The sequence below is a fragment of the Homo sapiens genome, chromosome 11 (genome assembly GCF_000001405.40).
Source record: "Homo sapiens chromosome 11, GRCh38.p14 Primary Assembly".
NCBI lineage: Eukaryota > Metazoa > Chordata > Mammalia > Primates > Hominidae > Homo > Homo sapiens.
The window spans coordinates 42,017,055-42,036,799 of NC_000011.10; the positions used below are offsets into that span (position 1 = coordinate 42,017,055).

General features: G+C 36.1%; 1 long non-coding RNA gene across 1 annotated transcript in view; it reads right to left on the reverse strand.

Moving 5' to 3' along the window:
• Window positions 1–19,745, reverse strand: part of LINC02745 (long intergenic non-protein coding RNA 2745) — an 83,737-nt gene that overhangs the window by 15,333 nt on the left and 48,659 nt on the right. The window contains exon 8 of the long non-coding RNA NR_135065.1: window positions 8,933–9,008. This is a non-coding gene — a long non-coding RNA (long intergenic non-protein coding RNA 2745). The remainder of the gene's footprint in view (window positions 1–8,932; window positions 9,009–19,745) is intronic.

Sequence of the window (19,745 nt, forward strand, 5' to 3'; positions counted from 1 at the left end):
AATTAATTAATTAACATTAAATAAGTCTCCGGATATTCTTCCAGATAGACTAATGCCACATTCAAGCATATATTGCTTGACATAAGAAATTAACTATTGAGTCTTATGCCTAAAATATTACTTCCTATGCGCTTCTTGTTTTTCAGACTATTAGTTCACAATCATGACACAATTTGTCATACGGGTACTTATTGCTTTGTCTCTAACTCCCTGCTTTCCAGCACCTACTTTTCAGATAATTGTCCTGATTATTTTTCTTTATTTTTCTTCTTCGCCTTAGCCACATAATTGAAATGGGAATTGTCATCATTTTTCAGCTTAACTTTCACTCCTGGACACAATTTATAGACAATCGAAAGACAATAGACACTCCAGAATAGATTAATCACAAGTCTTTCCTGGAAATTTAAAATTGAGAAAACATAAGAGTGTCAGTCTGGCTGAGCGCTAAAGTTATAAGCCTACTTATCTTTGTCTGGGCCACTATAACAAAATACTATAAACTGGGTGACTTTAAATAGCCAAAGTTTATTTCTCACAATTATGGAGTGTAGGAAGTCTAAGATTAATTTGTGTCTAATGAGGGGCCCTTTCTCCTTCCCAGATGGCACTTTCTGTGTCCTCACATGGTGGTAGGGTCAAGGCAGTTCTCTGGGCACTTTTCTGTAGGAACACTAATCCAAGTCTTCAGAGCTATGCCCTTGAGACCTAATCACTTGTCAAAGGCCCCCGCCTCCTAATAGTATCACCTTGGGAGTTAGAATTTTTATTTTTCTTTTTCTTTTTGAGATGGATTTTTGTTCTTGTCACCTAGGCTAGAGTACAACGGCACGATCTTGGCTCACTGCAGCCTCTGCCTCCCGGGTTCAAGTGATTCTCCTGCCTCAGCCTCCTGAGTAGCTGGGATTATAGGCACCTGCCACCACACCCAGCTAATTTCTGTATTTTTTGTAGAGATGGGGTTTCGTCATGTTGGCCAGGCTGGTCTCGAACTCCTGACCTCAGCTGATCCGCCCACCTCAGCCTCCCAAAGTGGTAGGATTATAGGCGTGAGCCACCGTGCCTGACCTAGAATTTCAAAATAAGAATTTTGGAGGGCCATAAACATTCACACCATAACTCTATTTTGGCTGGTAGTCACGCCCCATCATGAAGAAAGGGAAAAAGTAACCTGGTAAGACAAAGAAAAATTAAAGCAACAACAGATGTGCAAAGACAAAGACAGATGAGAGATTAAGAAGAGGTCTTCCTTGGCTTCCTATCATTTCAGAGTCCTTGGCATCAGCCTATTCTGGATGTTCATTTTTATCCTTCTCCTATCTGAGGTTTGTGAAAACAACTTGTACTTTTATGGAAGAGCACTCTTTTGAATAACCTAAATGCATACATTTTATGTTACCAGCAACCAAAATAGGCCTATAGGCAAGAGTACATGACATCTGAAGGGGTGATACCCCACATTCCTTATCCTGGACCTTTTCTATGCCAATTTTGGTCCCAAACCTTCATGTCACCTTGAAACTATTCAAAGCACTCAGCCCCTTTTGTCAGAGACAAGAAAGGCAGAGCACTCTGTTTGAAGTTATACTGCTTTTACCATTAAAAAAAATACATCTACTAAAGATTTTTTTTTCCAACAGAGCAACACAATAAAAGAGTAAGTGGCTTTGTAGTAAAAAATAATATAAAAAGATAATTAAATCTCAGGGGTATTTTTTGGTCTAATGCAGTTTTTCCTCAGAAAAAAAAAAAAAAAAAAAAAACAAGCATCAAGGCTGCCCCTAAAGGCACTTTTTGACTCACCGTTGCCACTAACATGAAGTTGAGTGTGAAAAATCTCTGCTTGATTTGTTCTTTCTTTTCAAGAAAAAAGAGGCTTAATATTCATTGCAGAGGGTGAGTAGAAAAAAAAATCTGTGCTGTTATTTTTGAGGGGTTGAAATGCTTGTTCTCACCACTGAAGGTGTTCATCTTTACAAAAAATGGTTGCTAGGGAGCTAGCCAATTTGAGGGAATATTTTTGAATGTTTATAAAACTAAAGAGCGGCATCATTGGCAATACATTTATTGGCAGAACTGAACCAATTAGTCAGTGCTGCTAAAGTGACTGCATACAGCTGATTTCACAGAAAGGGCAAATATATAATGATGCATGCTACTGGAGTACTTTTTTTTAAAACTACAGATTTAAGTCTCAGATAAAGGCAATAACACTCCTTCTACTTCAGGAAATTTTGAGTGTTCAAATATGTGGTTATAAAAACACATAAGAGAGCATTTTTAGGCCATTCTGACACATTCCACACTCATTCTTAAATAAAATAAATCACATGATCAGCTCTCCTTGAGGCTGGAGATTGGTTTTTGTAATAAGGAAAGGCCTAGCAATGTCTCCTCATTTCATTCATTCCAACTATGCAATTCAACTACAATTCTCGTTTTAATTTCCTTTCATGTATTTCTATCTGTAATTTTTAAAGACAACTATGATTTATATTTATAAGGATAATGAGAATAAAAAAGGAGAGCAATACCCTTTTAGACAAAGACAATCCAACAAACAAGCAAAACAAAACCAACAAAAACTTTTCGTGATGTGCAAATATAAGGTTCACTAAGTCCTGCTGGTTGTCACTTTTGATTGTCTCTCCTCTCATTTCATGTATATCCTCTGCTCCCCTCATGAGTGGAGAAAAAAAATGTGTGATTAGTGAATGTCAGCAGTTGGACTCTCTGAGATTCAGACTGAGGAGTTTAGAGTGTAGGAGGTTTTGTAGAGCACGGTCTTGGGATTCATATCTGCAGAAGAGAAAAGAAAGAAGCAGGGTTGGACAGAGGGAGAACTTGGGCTGCCAGGAAGTCTTAATGGAGGTCATAAGTAACTCTACAAAAGACTTGGAAGAATGCATGACGCTTCTGAGTTCTGAGTGGAGCAAAGGTGCCGGACTTTAATGCTGCCCTATAAACTAGTCACGGATGCTGGCAACTCAGGAAGGGGAACCCAATCTTGAGCAAGGTGGCTCTCTTCAATAGAGGCATTTTCTGAAATGGGACAGTAGGGCATAGCACTTTGTCCACTGCATTCTCAGCAGCTGAGGGAAGAAGTTCATCATTCCTGAATAAGGATCCAGATACCACATCACAGCATCTTTCACACTAACAATGAATAATTGTTTTTTATTTAAAAACAATGAATTGCATGAGGCAGTATAGGTAGCTATTAGTGTATTATTTACCTATAACCTGTTGACTGCCTAATACTGGAACAGAGCTAATGGGAAAAAATGCCCAACTTGTACAGAACATTTTGTTCAAGAGGGAAATTGAATCCATGCAACACTACTAACTTAAAGGCAGGCAGAACATTATAAACTGGTAACTGGGGAAAAGAAAATTAGTACCACAAACTCATAGAGAAGATGCTAATGAATATTAAGGGAATCAACAGGGATAAAGGGCCTGGATATAGGTTGTATCTTTGAGAGCAGTGTTAGGTAAAACAGGCAAGTGGGAATAAGATGGTTGTTGCCGAAGACAGAAGCTTGTGCATGCTATGGATAAAACAGGCAGAAGAGTGTTTCCCCTAAAGCAGAGGGAGGCAAGTTTGAATAGATTAAGAGGCATAAAATGTCAGAATGAATTGGATGCCAGATTGAAGAGACTGAATGCCACTGAAAATGAAATACAAAACTAAATATCTCAGTATGGAAGTCATACAATAAAAGGGGAGCTTTCAAATATTAACACGGTGGGGGGATATAAGATATTTTTTAGAAGATAAGACTGTAAATCACCATCTTCTTGGTTAGTTTGCCAGAATGGGAAAGGTAAAATTTCTGAAGTTCCCATGACACACACACACAAAATGAGAACTGAAAGATACACTGTAACATAACCTGTCCAAAGTCACGATGCAAAGAAATGATTGAGCTGGCAATCAAACCCATAGCTGTCTTCAAAGTCCCTTTTCTGCCACCATTCCACGCTGCCAGAATGTTAGAAAACCTGCCTGCAAGCTGCTTTTCCTACCCAGGATTGTTCTGAAAGTAAGAAAATCAAAACACTGGCATTGATTTGGAGTACAATATAGGTTTCACATCTTGACACTATTTGGGAAATTAAATGGGATCTGTCACCATTTTATGATTAGCATAAGACAGAGCCCCATTTTGCATCTAAGAACACTTTCTGAGACAAATTGCTATGTCTTTAAATAATGGATTCAATAAACATTTAACAACTGCCTATTCTGTGCCAGGGAGTAGTCCTGGTGTGGTGGACAAAGCAGAAAATAAGACAAAGTCCTTTTGTCATGAAATTTATATTTTACTAGACAGAAACAAGTAATAAATATAAGAAGAAATAAAAATTTAAATATATTAATATGATAATTTCAGAAAAGTAAATATTTTAGGAAGAAAAGCACAGGATAATTTTATGGATAGTTATTGATAAATGATAGGAAATGTGTTCATTGGTTTTGTTTTTGTTTTTAATGTTCCACCACTTAACTAGCTGCACACTCTTGGTTAATCGGTCTGTGACTCAGTTTTCTCACCTATCTTAGAGATCTGATGCTGTGATTAAAAGATTAAATACACAAAACGTGCTTTCACCAGTGAATAGAATAAGAGTTCAATAAATGTCAATGCATTATTAAATGTTATTCATATTTCTGAGAATGAGAACTTCACGTTTCCCATCTCTTCTTTCCTGTGCAGAAGTAAGAAGTCCCAACTGCACAGAATGCTTCCTGAACGTAAAATTTCCTGTTTCAGATTATTTATGCCCCATAACCTTGATATGATTTGTCCTCCCCTCACTCAATAACCACTTATTAAATGGCCACAGCTTGCTAGACATTGGCTTTCTTAAGGTGAATTTAATTCAGAAATTACTAAATTCAATTCTGTGGGTTTGTTTTGTTTCTCCATAATCCCTTACACTGGTTTATCAGCCTGCCAGAGAAGCAGAAAGATAGCCTCCAGGGCTATGTCAGCCAGGCCCAGCCCAGACATCAAAGAATATTATGAATGTGTAAAATTGCCTTTGGCAAAGACTATTTACAGACCCTCTGGCACAGTTATGCTGAAATGATAAGAAATGTCACTGCAGCCTACTGCATTGAATAATAAACATTTCCTGCCTTTAATATCAACTACCCACTTATCCGGAACCCAGAATGGCTCGCAATTACAATCAAGGAAAAAAGGAAAGGTTAGGTGTTTTTTTTTTTGTTTTTGCTTTTGCTTTTTATTAATATGCCGCAATGCTTACTATTAATTAAATCAGCAGTATAGCCAGGAGTGGAACTTAGTGAGATTATCTATATTATGCACTCGAAATATAGTTTATCCATTTTAATTAAATGAGTTCTAAATATAACCATTTTTAATTCTTCTACACCCTACAACTAATTAAAAATAAAATTAGTTAACATTTCTATGTGACATCATTAAAAAATTGTTCATATAAAGATGCAAATATCCCTATAGTATCCTGTGTATTTACTTGCATCCCTCTATGCTGTTGATGACAAGAGTATTAAAGCTTTGCATGAATACAAACCTGTGGGCAAGGCTTTTTTTTTTTTTTTTTTTTTTTTTCTCAAATTTCTCCCCATGTCTAGTCATCTGCCTTCTGCTTGTCTCATCTTGGCATGTTCTGGATACTGGTTATAGCTTTGGGAAGCCTATTAAATTTCACCTCCTTGGATGTTCTGTTTCAGAGAAACTTCATGTTAGGCTGACATGAACACATCCACATCTACTCTTTATTTCTTTTTATTTCTTTATGTAGCATATTAGGGCCTTCTTAGTGTGCTAAGAGGTCTCAGTCGTAAGAAAATACCATTGTACAAAGTGACTAAAGAAACCACCATGAGAACTAGAAATGAGGTAGAAAAACCTGAACAAATTGCTGGAGGCTCAGTGTGGACAAGTCAGAGAGTTAAAAACTCCATAGGGACTCAGTCTTAGCAGCCCTCCAGACTTTTGTAAATTTTACCCTCTGGAGCTTGACCAGGTTCTCATAGCAAATATCAGAAGAAAATCTCCACGTGCTTCTGGCAGCTGGAGAGGAAAGGACACATTTTGAAATACGCCAGAGCACTCTTTTCTTCTTAACAAGGCTGGCTCTCAGGACAAACTATTTAACCAAAGCCTATCATGCCAGGATTTTATCAGAGCCTAACTGACCAGAGGAAAACGAATACCCAACTCTAGTCCACTCTCATCATGTTGTCCCACCTAAGAGGTTGGGAGGACTGAGAAATACTTGTGAATTTCACAGTCCAGAGGCATAGGTTCACTAAGACCTAGTCATAGGACTTCAGAACTCTTCCCTTCCCTCAACACCTTGCAACCACATGACTAAATGCCTATTTACAGCAGTTCTTTTTACCCAGTACATCCTGTCAAGCTATTAAGGAAAATTACAAGACATATTGAAAGGTATACCTTGGAACAAACAGAGAAAGCATTAGAAGCAGACATGACAGGAATGTTGGAATATCAGACTAGGAATTAAAGCAACAATGATTAATATGCTAAGGGCCTAATATGTAAAGGAGACAACATGCAGGAACAGAGAGGTATTGTGAGCAGAGAGATGGAAATACTAAGAAAGGACCAAAAATAAATGCCAGACAAAAACACTAACAAAACGAAAAATGTCTTTGATGAGCTTGTTAGTAAACTGGACATGGCTGAGAAAATAATATTTGAGCTTGAGATTACATCAATAGAAATTTCCCAAACTGATTTCATTCAATGGTGTTTTGTAGTTAGCAGTGTACAGATCTTACAAATATTTTACCAGATTTATAAATAACTTTTATATTTTTTGGTATTGTAAATGGCACTACTTTTTAAAAATTTAAGTTTCCAATTGTTTTATTGCTGATAACTAAAAAACAAATTGATCTTAAATTTTGTGACCTTGCTAAAATATCCTATGAGTTGTAGTAGTATTGGTTTTTAGATTTGGGGGGATTTTTTTTCTTCATCTTTTATTTTAAGTTCAGGGGTACATGTGAAGGACATGCAGGTTTCTTACATAGATAAATGTGTGCCATGATGGTTTGCTGCACAGATCATCCCATCACCTAGGTATTAAGCCCAGCATCTGTTAGCTAATCTTCCTGATGCCTTCCCTTCCACCATCCCACCTCTGACAAGTCTTAGTGTGTGTTGTTCTCCCTAGTGTGTCCATGTGTTCTCATCATTCAGCTCCCACTTACAAGTGAGAACATGCGGTGTTTGGATTTCTGCTCTTGCATCAGTTTGCTGAGGATAATGGCTTCTAACTCCACCTGTGTCCCTGCAAAGGACATGATCTCATTCATTTTTATGGCTGCATACTATTCCATGGTGTATATGTACCACATTTTCTTTATCCAGTCTATCATTGAAGGACATTTAGGTTGATTCCATGTCTTTGCTATTGTGAATAGTATAGCAATGAACATACACGTGCATGAATCTTTATAATAATGAGACAAGAGGGACAGCATTAGGAGATATACCTACTGTAAATGACGAGTGAATGGGTGCACCACACCAACATGGCACATATATACATATGTAACAAACCTGCACGTTGTGCACATGTATCCTAAAACTTAAAGTATAATAAAAATAAATAAATAAATAAATAACGAGACAAGACTGAAAACAAATGAATTAGAATATCCAGGAACTGCAGGACAACTACAGAAGGTGTAACACATTCACAACGAGATACAAGAAGGATAAGAAAAAGAAAGAGAAAAAGTATTTCAAACGCTATAACTGAGAATTGCCTCAAATTAATGTCAGACACAAAATCATAGGTGGAGGAAACTCAGACAACATCAAGCAGGACAAATGCCAAAAAAACTGTAGCTAGGTTCAGTATTTTCAAACATAGAAAATTGGAGATAAAACAAATAATTCAATTAAAAAAAGGGCAAAGGATTTGAATAGACAGTTCTCAAAGGTAGACATCCAAATGGCCAATAGGTATATGAAACAATGCTCAATGTCACAAATCATCAAGGAAATAGAAATTAAAACTACAATGAGATATTACCATATACGTGTTAGAATGGCTATTAGCAAAACAATGAAAGATAAGTGTTGGCAAGGCTGTGGAGAAAAGGGAATTTTCTGCACTGTTCATTGGTGAGGACGTAAATTAGTAAAGCCAATGTAGAAAACTGTATGGAAGCTTCTCAAAATATTACAAATGGAACTACTGTATGATACAGCAATCCCACATCTGGGCATATATCCAAAGGAAATAAAATCAGTACGTTGAAGAGATTTCTACACTTTTATGTTCATTGTAGCATTATTCACAATAGGCAAGATATTGAATTAACCTAAGTGTTAAATGTCCATTGACAAATAAATAAAAAATAATTAGTGCACATACACATACACACACACACACACACACACAAACACACACACACACACAATGGTACACAATGGGTTGCTATTCAGACTTATAAAAGAAGGAAATTCTGTCATTGTGACAACATGCATAAACCTAGAGAACATGATGCTTATTGAGATAAGCCAGGCAAGAAATACAAATACTGCATTTACTTATATATGAAATCTACAAATGTTGAATTTACAGAAACAGAGAGTAGAGTGATAGTTGCCAAAGGCCGGGGGTTGGGGAAGTGGTTGGAGAGATGCCAGTTAAAGGGTACAAAGTTTCAGGAAAACAGGATGAATAATCTCTGGAGATCTAGTGTACAGCAGGGTGACTATAGTTGAGCTTGTGTTTTATATTACTAAGTATAAACTTGCTAAAATATTAAAATTTAAATGTCCTCACCACACAAAAAAGATAAGTATGCGTATTAGTCCATTCTCATGCTGCTATAAAGAACTGCCTGAGATTGTGTAATTTATAAAGGAAAGAGGTGTAATTGACTCACAGTTCTGCATGGATGTGGAGACCTCAGGAAACTTACAATCATGTCCTTTTTCACATGGCAGCAATAAAGAGAAGTGCTGAGAAAAAAGGAGAAGATACCCTTATAAAAACATCAGATCTCATGAGAACTCACTCACTATTATGAAAACAGCATGAGGGTAACTGCATCTATGAATAAATTACTTCCCATCAGGTCCCTCCCATGACACATGGGGATTATGGGAATGACAATTCAAGGTGAGATTTGGGGGGGGGACATGGAGCCAACTATATCATTCTGCCCCTGGCCCCTCCCAAATCTCATGTCCTTCTCACATTTCATAACACAATCATGCCCTTCCAACAGTCCCCTAAAGTCTTAACTCAGTCTACCATTAACCCAAAAGTCCAAAGTCCAAAGTCTCATCTGAGACAAGGTAAGTCCCTTCTGCCTATGAGCCTGTAAAATCAAAAGCAAGCTAGTTACCTTCTAGATACAAGGGGTACAGGCATTGGGTAAATACACCCATTCCAAATGGGAGAAATTGGCCAAAATAAAGGGGCTACAGGCCCCAGGCAAGTCTGAAATACAATAGGATAGTCATTAAACCTTAAAGTTCCAAAATGATCTCTTTTGACTCCATGTCTCACATCTGGGGCATGCTGATGCAAGAAGTGGGCTCCAGTGGCCTTGAGCAGCTCTGCCCCTGTGGATTTTCAGGTATAGCCCCCCTCCCAGTTGCTTTTATGGGCTAGTGTTGAGTATCTGCAGCTTTTCCAGAAACATGGTGCAAGCTGTCAGTGGATCTACCATTCTGGGGTCTGGAGGACAGTGGCCCTCTTCTCACAGCTCCACTAGGCAGTGCCCCAATGAGGACTCTGTGTGGGAGCTCCAACCCCACATTTCCCTTCTGCATTGCCCTGGCAGACATTCTCCATGAGGGCTTCACTACAGCAGCACACCTCTGCCTGGGAATCTAGGTATTTCCGTAACATCCTACGAAATCTAGGCAGAGGTTCCCAAACCTTAATTCTTGACTTCTGTGCACCCACAGGCCCAACACCATGTGTAAGCTGCCAAAGCTTGGAGCTTGCAACCTCTAAAGCAATGGCCTGAGCTGTACGTTGGCCTCTTAGCCACAACTGGGACACAGGGTACCAAGTCCCAAGACTGTGCAAAGCAGCAAGGCCCTGGGCATGGCCTGCAAAACTATTTTATCTTCTTAGGCCTCTGGGCCTGTGATAGGAGGGGCTGCCGTAAAGACCTCTGACATGCCCTGGAGATATTTTTCCCATTGTCTTGGCAATTAACATTTGGCTCCTCATTACTTATGCAAATTTCTGCAGCTGGCTTTAACTTCTACTGGCTGCAAACTTTGTGAATTTTTATGCTGATTCTCTTTTAAACATAAGTTCCAATTCCAAATCATATCTTTGTGAATACATAAAACTGAATGTTTTTAACAGCACCTGAGTCATCTCTTGAATGCTTTACTGCTTAGAATTTTTTTCCACTAGATACTCTAAATCATCTCTCAATTTCAAAGTTCCACAAATCTCCAGGCCAGAGGCAAAATGCTGCCAGTCACTTTGATGTAACATAGCAAGAGTCACCTTTATTACAGTTCCCAACAAGTTCCTCATCTCTATTGGAGACCACCTCAGCCTGGACTTCATTGTCCATATCACTATTAGCTTTTTGGTCAAAGCCATTCAAGTCTCTAGAAAGTTCCAAACTTTCCCACATTTTTTTGTCTTCTTCTAAGCCCTCCAAACTGTTTCAACCTCTGCCCGTTACCCAGTCCCAAAGTCACTTCCACGTTTTCAAGTATCTTTACAGCAGCACCACACTACCTGGTACCAATTTATTGTGTTAGTCTGTTCTCACACTACTATAAATAACTGTCCAAGACTGGGTAATTTATAAAGGAAAGAGGTTTAATTGACTTACAGTTCGACATAGCTGAGGAGGCCTTAGAAAACTTACAATCATGGCAGAAGGGGAAGAAAATACACTCTTCTTCACATAGCAGCAGGAAGGAGAAGTGCTGAGCAAAAGGGGGGAAAGTCCCTTATAAAACCATCAGATCTTGTGAGAACTCATCCACTATCACAGGAACAACATGAGGATAACCAGCCCCATTATTAAATTACCTCCCACTGCGTCCCTCCCATGACACTTGGGGATTATAGGAACCCAGTTCAAGGTGAGATCTGCATGGGGACACAGAGCGAAACCATATCAGTAAGTGATGTTATGGATATGTTAACTAGATCGATTTAACAATTTCATCATGTATTCATGTATCAAAACATCATGTTGTACATTATACATACATACACTATTTATTATATGTTAATAAAGCTGAGGTGATTGAGAAAAAGAGAGATAAAAGAAGGTTTAAAAATAGAAAATAATATTTAAAAAAAAATTCTGAAAGAAGGTAGAGGAAAACATATCCATAGAGGACAAAGATAAAAATTACATTTGATGTCACCTGAGAAACCATGCAAACACAGAGTGGAGTGAAATATTTAAAATCTTGTGAGGAAAAAATAACACCAAGTAGAATTCTGTACCCTGAGAAATTATCCTTCAACATGAAGAAGAAATACTTTCTAGAACAAATAACAATTGAGAGAATTTGTTGTCAGTTTGTTTATAAAGAAGGAAAATAATATAGGTCAGAAACATGAGTCTTCCTAGAGAAAGGAAGAGCATCAAAGATAGAAAAAGTGAAAGTAAAATAAACATTTTTATTTTCTTGTTCTAATAATATGTATGCACTGAAAATAAAATTTTCAAATTATATGAGGCAAAAACTGGTAGAACTGCAAGAAGAAATAGATGAATTTGTTATTATTGTTTGAGACTTTAATAGCTCTCTAAAAGAAGTGGATGTATCCAGCAGACAGAGAATCAGTAAGAACATATTAGAGCTCAACAGCACCATACTGAATATAATTAATATCTACAGAGTATTTTGTCAGATGAAATACATAGAACATACATTCTTCTTAAGCTTACATGGAACATTCATCAAGATACACCATATTCTGTGATATAAAACACAACTTAACAAATCTAAAGAAATAAAAATCATACCAGGTCTGCTTTCACATCACAGTGGAATTAAGTTAGAAATCATTAAATGAAAAATAGCTGGAAAATTTCAAAATATTTGAATATTAAACAATTACCTCTAAATAAAATATAGGTCAAAGAACAAATATTAAGAACAATGAAAATATTTGGAACTAAATGGGAATGAAAATACAACTTACCAAAATATGTGGAATGCAGTAAATGGAGCACTTAAAGGAAAATATATGGCATTAAACATGTATATTAGAAAAGAAGGGTGTTCTAAAGTCAGTAATGTAAGTTTTAATCTTAAGGAAGTAGAAAAAGACAAATTAAATTTAAAGTAAGCACAAGAAAAGATAAAAATTTAAGCATACATCAATGAAATTGAAAACAGGGAAGCAATAGAGAAAATTAATAAAACCAACAGCTGGTTCTTAAAAAGATCAATAAAATCTATAAGGCTCTAGTCAGGCTAAGAAAAATAAAATATAGAGGACATAATTACTAATATCAGAAATGAAAGAGAGGATATGACATCACTACAGATCCAAGGGACATTGAGAGTGTAAATTAAGGATTATTAAGAACAACTCTTATGCCCACATATTTGATCATCTAAATGAAATGGACTGTTTTCTTGAAAGACACAATCTGGTAAAACTCACACAAGAAGAATTAGACAATTTGAATGGGCCTATATCTCTGAAATAAGCTGAATCAATAATTAATAACTTCCCCAAATATAAATCATCAGGCTTAAATCAGTTCACTGTTGAGTTTTACCAAGCATTTAAAGAATAAATGGTATGAGTTCTTTACAATCTACAATCTCTTTCATAAGACAGAAGAAGCAGGCATACTGTCTAACTTCTTCCATGGACCAGAATTATTCTAATACCAAACTAAACAAGTATATTACAAGAAAAGAAATCTATAGACCAATCTCTTATGAACATACATATAAAAATCCAAAAACAACAACAAAAATACTTTATCAAATCAAACCCAATTACGTATAAAAATAATTATACACCATGTACAAGTGAGATTTATCCTAGGTATGAAAGGCTGTTTCAACATACAAATAATTTTTTAATAATAATTTTATTATTTAATAATAATGTTAAAAAATCCTAGGTAAACTAGAAATAGAAGAGAATTTTCTTAACTTGATAAATATTTATCTACCAAAAATCTACAGCTAATATAATACTTAATGGTGAGAAACTAGAAGCTTTCCCACTAAGATCAGGAATAAGATAAGTATATTCTCTCTCACTGATCCTTTAGAACATATCACTAGAGGTTCTGGGTAATGCAATAAGACAAGACAAGAAAAGAACATGTATACATATATGGAAGGAGAAAGCAAAATGAGTTTTGCTTGCAGATGACATGATTGTTTATTTACAAAATCCTAAAAAATTAATGGAAACGTTCCCAGAAATAAGTGACTATAGGAAGGTTGCAGGAAACAAGGTTAATATATATTAAAAAAAAACTCTTTCCTATATACCAGCAATAAACAAGAGGAACTTGAAATTAAAAACACAATAGGCCGAGCGTGGTGGCTCATGCCTGTAATCCCAGCACTTTGGGAGGTCAAGGCGGGTGGATCACAAGGTCAGAAGATCGAGACCATCCTGGCTAACACAGTGAAACCCTGTCTCTAGTAAAAATACAAAAAAAAAATTTAGCTGGGCCTGGCGATGTGCGCCTGTAGTCCCAGCTGCTGAGGAGGCTGAGGCAGGAGAATGGCGTGAACCCGGGGGGTTACGCCTTCACAAATTAATTAGTCCTTCACAAATTAATCTATAGATTTGGCCTGATCTTAAAGCTCAGCAAGTTATTTTGTGGACATTGACAATCTAATTCTAAAGTTTGTATGAACAGGCAAAAGACCTATAAGATAATGCAATAGTAAAGGAGAAGAACAAAGTTTGAGGACTCACACTATCCAACTTCCAGATTAGTTACAAAACTACAGAAATCATGACAGTGTGATGTTGACTTAAGAACTAACAAATAGAGCAATGGAACAGAATAGAGAGCCCAAAGATAGACCCACATAAATGTAGCCAAGTAATCTTTCACGAAGAAACAATAGCAGTACAATGGAGCAAAGACAGGCTTTTCAACAAATAGGCTGTCAAAACTGAACCTACATTTCCAAAAAGTGAATCTAGACACAGACTTTACATGTTTCATAAAAATTAACTCAAAATGAATCATAGTCCTAGATATTAAAACACAAAATCATAAATTTCTAGAACATAACACAGAAGAAAACCTAGATAACCTTGAGTGTGGCAACAACTTTTTAGCTATAGTAACAAAGCCAAAATTCATAAAGGAAAAAATGACTTTATTAAAATTAAATACAAACAAACTTCTGATTTGCAAAAGACACTGTCAAGAGAATGAAAGGACAAGCCAGACTGGAAGAAAATATTTGCAAAAGACGTATCTGATAAAGGAGTCTCATCCAAAATATATGAAAATCTCTTAAAATTCAACAGTAAGAAAATGAACAACCTGATTAAAAAATGGGCAAAAGTCTTGATCAGACATTTCATCAAAGAAGATATACAGATGGCAAATGAACATATGAAAAGATGTCCAACATCACATGTCATTAATAAATTGCAAATGAAGACAATAAATTTCTTCTACATACTTATTAAAATGGCCAAAATATACAACACTGACAACAGCAAGCGCTGGTGAGGATGTGGAGGAACAGGAAAACTCATTCATTGCCAGTGGCAATGCAAAAATGTGCAGCCACTTTGGAAGTTTCTTACAAAACTGAACATACTCTTAGCATAATATCTAGCAATCATGCTTTTTAATGTGTATCCAAAAAAGTAGAAAACCTATGACCACACAAAAACTTGCATGGGATTCTTTACAGAAGCTTTGTTCATAACTGTCACAACTTGGAAACAAACAAGATGCTTTGAAGCATTATGTGAATGGATAAACTGTTGTATATATAGACAATGAAATAGTCATTGCTAAAAATAAATAAGCTACAAAGCCATTAAAAACATAAAGGAATGTTAAATGCATATTACAAAAGGAAAGAAGCAAATCCAAAAAGAATACATATAATAATGTATAATTCCATTTATATGCGTTTTTAGAAAAGGCAAAACTATAAAGGAAATAAAAAGATCAGTGGTTTCCAGGGATTGGGGACAGAGGATGGACAAAGCATAGCCCAGAGGATTTTCACAGCATTTGAAACACTCTGTAGGATGCTATAGTGGTGTATACATGGCATTACACGTTTGTCCAAACCTGTAGAATGACTACACTGAGTGAACCCTAATATAAACTATAGACCTTGGGTGATGATGATATGTTAATGTAGGTTCATTCATTGTAAGAAATGAACTACTCTTAGGAGGATGTTGCTAATGAAGAAGGCTATGCATATGTGGGGGAAGGACGTATATGATAAATCTTTGCACATTTCTCTTAATTTTGCCATGGACCTAAAGCAGCTCCAGAAAATGAAGTCTTCAAAAAGAATGGCTTTATAAAAACGTGGAGATAATGAACAGTCAAACATACTGTATCTGAATAACATTTCTCCAATTATACTGATACTTCAGTCTTACATCTGATGCCATGAAGTGTTTAGTTCAACACATTCCATAATGATCTTTCTTAATTTTATTGAAAATATTCATTCAAAATTATTCATAAATTTAATAAATATTTATTGAACATCTATTACATACGAGTTATTGTCCAAGATACAGGGAATAAACCAGCGAACAAAACAAACATTTCTATTCTCATAGAGTTTATATTCCAGTGGATGAGGAAGACATACAATAAATAAAACAATTAAATCACATAATTCATTAAGAAGAATCAAGCCCAGGAGGCATTCAGAGAGAGTGAGGGGTGCATACGTACAATTCTTAATTAGATGGTCAGAAATGCCCTCATTGCCCTCATTGAGAGGTGACATTGAACAAAGACTTTAAGATGATGCGGGAGAAAGTCAAGCAGATGTCTAAGGAATATAACACCAGGCAAAAGGAATCGCCAGTGCAAAGGCCCCTAAAACTTGAATGTTTCTAGTGCAGTAAAAGAACAAGCAGGTGGTCAGTGAAGCTGAAAGTTGACTGAGTAGGAAATGGAGTCAGTAAAGTAATTGGCAGCTATCTCTAAGGGCATCTAGTGGTCCTTGGTGATGGTTACAAGAGAAAAAAATAAAAAGAATCATTTGTTTATTATTCTGTAGATAATAATAGAACTAGAAACTAGAGGAGACTAATATTGATTTGAAAAATGTATGACAGAGATTGTGTCCAGGCATCCTCTATGCATTTCTTAATTTAGCACTTAAAATTTCTTATGCATGTATTATTATTTCCATTTATAGATGTAGGAACTGAGATTCAGAGCGTTTAATAAATTGCCTAATTTCATTGAGAATACACAGTTATCTCAGCATTTAAAATCAGTACTCTTGATTCCAAAGTTACATTCTTTTGACAATATGTTATGTCAGCCAAGTTTTAGCAACAAGTGATATGACTTATCTTCAACCTTGAGCATTGCAACCATCTCTTCTTTAATAAACAGCTAACTACTTAAAAAAAAACTTGATGCTTATAAGCACGTAAAAGGTGTGTGTGTGTGTGTGTGTGTGTTCTTTCTACTTTTACAATGGGATTAAAAGTTGCTTTTGGTTGAAAGCAAGCATAGCAGAGTGGTTAAAAGCATGGTCTGTAGCATCAGATGAGGCCTTGTTTCTTGCCATTGCTTGCTTATGGATGTCTTTGGACATGGTACTGAAATTCTCTAGGCTTCTGTTTTCATGTGTGTCAAGTGGGCATGCAAATAACATATGCATATGCACATAATATAGGCAAATAACTTATTACAGTGATAATTAAGTGACAGAATGAATGTATATTACTTAATCTGGTCTGTATGTAATACGGGTTCAATAGGTTTTAGCCACCATAATTTATATTTCCTAACTCACTACAAGTGGCTGTCAGCTCCTACAGTCAAGGAATGTGATTTTTCTAGTATTGATAGGGCCCTACGCACCCACCCACCCCTGCCAAAGTGCAAAGCAAAAACTATTGCTCTAGTGGGATTTTAAAAATTATTTTCACCTATAATGTACTGCAGTGAAAACTTCAACCCACTCCCAGAAGCACTGCTTAGAGTGTGGCATAATTAAAATAAGGGAACAATCAACAGCAGGAATGTTAGCATAGAACCAAGGAAATTATTAAGAAACCAAACTGAACATCATCATTAAGAATCACCAGAGGCTTCTATAAATATGTAAGTAGTGTAGGAGTTGAAATAATACAGAAGGGAAACACACTATAAAAATATGTTTGTGTCTATAGGCACTGCCTGCCTAAGCCTTCAGGGTGTGTAACTCTAACTTCTTCAGTGAGGGTGACTTATGATGCAGATACTATTATACATTAGAGAGCATCAAGGCCTGGATTTTAACAGGTGTTAAAGCACAATTTATATTTGTTTCTATGCTTAAAAGTAGTAGCTAAGCCATAAAAACCACACTCTGCCCTACTTTTGAAAAAATAAGAACCCTATAAAAGTAACCCATACTTTGTATCCAAAGTCTATACTTTTATTGAGCTACCAGATTTGATACAAGGTATAATACAAGTCTTAAATTATTACTAACATGTAAGGAGTCATATTTAAACTACTCTGTTAGGGTAGTGAATCCAAGAACTTAGCAGAGCCATATCTCTGGTATCGAAGTGGTAGAAACTAGGTTAGTTAATGCAGGAATGCAAGAGAGATTTCAAGTCTAAATTTTAGTGCCTGATTTTGGTATGCAGGACTTCCTCTCCAGTTACACACCAAGTTAGACCTCCAATCTCAACTTGGAGAAATATTCACTATTTCACTCAGGGCTATGGGAAAAAAAAATTTGATCTTGATTTAAAGAATAAGCAAATGTTTAACCAGGAAAAACTAATGGCATAAACTTGCCTAAAAAAACAGCTTTAATGCCAGAGAAAACATTGCTGTGTTTGAGGAAATGAAAGCACAGGGTGACTGGAGTGTGGCATATAGAGGGGAAACTGGCCAGAAGGTAATTTAAAGAAGCAGCAAAAGTCAAATCACCATCAGTTATATGTTAAAGAATCTGGGTGTTAGTCTACATGAAATGAAAAGACATTGATAGTCTGTTGCGAAGAAAGAGGGTGAATCTGTGCTATGATTTATAAGAAGCAGTCTGGCTGCTGTAAGGGGATGATGGGAGTGGGAGAAAAAGTGTGACAGCTAGAGAGGCTGCAATGGTGACATGAACTGAGGCTGAAAGTGAAAATGGAGAGAATGGATAGCTCCTAGATCTATCCTTGAGGTAGAATCAAAAAGACTTGCAGATAACTGGGATGTTAGGTGCTTACAAAAGACTTGTCAAAAACTTCACAGTTTCCTGCTTAAGTGATAATGAGAATACCTGCTTTTATAGAGTGACTACAATGCTAGAAGTGTAGATCAAGAATTCAATGTTTAGCCTCCTGCTAATCTGAATTGTATGAGACATTCAGGTGGAGATTCCTAGTAGACCATTAGATATAAGAGTTTGCAGGTTAGAAGAGACCTCGGGATTGTCCTAGTACATATACAGGTTTGTACCTTATAAGCATTTCTTTGTAAAGCTTTACATACCTAATTATTTCCCTAGGTCCAAGGAATGATGAGAAAATTACTACTAAAAGCAACATTTCTCAAAATTCAAATGCCCAGGAGACTGTTGCAATGAAAAAAATTTGATAAACTGTGTAGGCTGCTCTAAAAATCCAACCAACAAACCAAAGAAACAAAAAACAATGCAAATAAAGTTTTGCAAAAGTAAAACATGGGGTATGAGTTGCCTGAGGATCTTGAACATTAGAAGTGTGCTATTCTCAACTCTTACAGGGATTTTGTTACCTTGGTCCAATCCCTGCCCATTGAGTTTTCTTAGTCAAAAATGAACTCTCTTTTGTACTATGTGTACCACAAGGCTAACAAAGCTAGAAAAATGCCTATAGTAAAGAAAAACACGCCTTCTTTTCCTATAGACCCAATGAGAAATGAGCTGAGCTCAGTTTTTTTAAGAGCCATGCTAATTAAACAGTATGGTCTTAAGAGACTGCTAAATCATGACCCCGCCTAAACTGTTTATCTTCAAGCACAGGATAATAGCATAATAATTGGTGAAATGAAGCCATTTCTGATCAAATTGCTCTTTTCTTTAGCCTCTGTGCCCAATATAAGTGACTTTTCCCCAGCTCCAACCCCAGCAGTTGAGACTCTGCTGACATTACAACATGAAAATCTTCAGTAATTGATTCCAACTGTTGCAGCTGCAAAGAATTGCTTTGCTAAGTAAAGGGATTTATGGATTTGGCCACATTTTGTTGTTTGCTGCCTTCGATTACTACAAATTCATTCTTCTCTCAGTTTTCCAAAATAAGAGTGGATAGAACTGATATGGAAATGGTTTTAGCAATGTGTTAGATTAAAAAAAGTTCTCTGTAGGTTCTTTTAAAAATAAAACATTTCTTTTTCTCTCAGCAGTAAAATATTTTCATTGATGAAAATTTTGGAAACATACAAATTTTTAAAAAGTAAGAACTATTTATAATCATTCAACCATGATAACCACTACTGTTTTTAGTTTTTATAAAAGTTATCTTTCAACATATATATGGTTATGTTTATTTTTAATCAAATT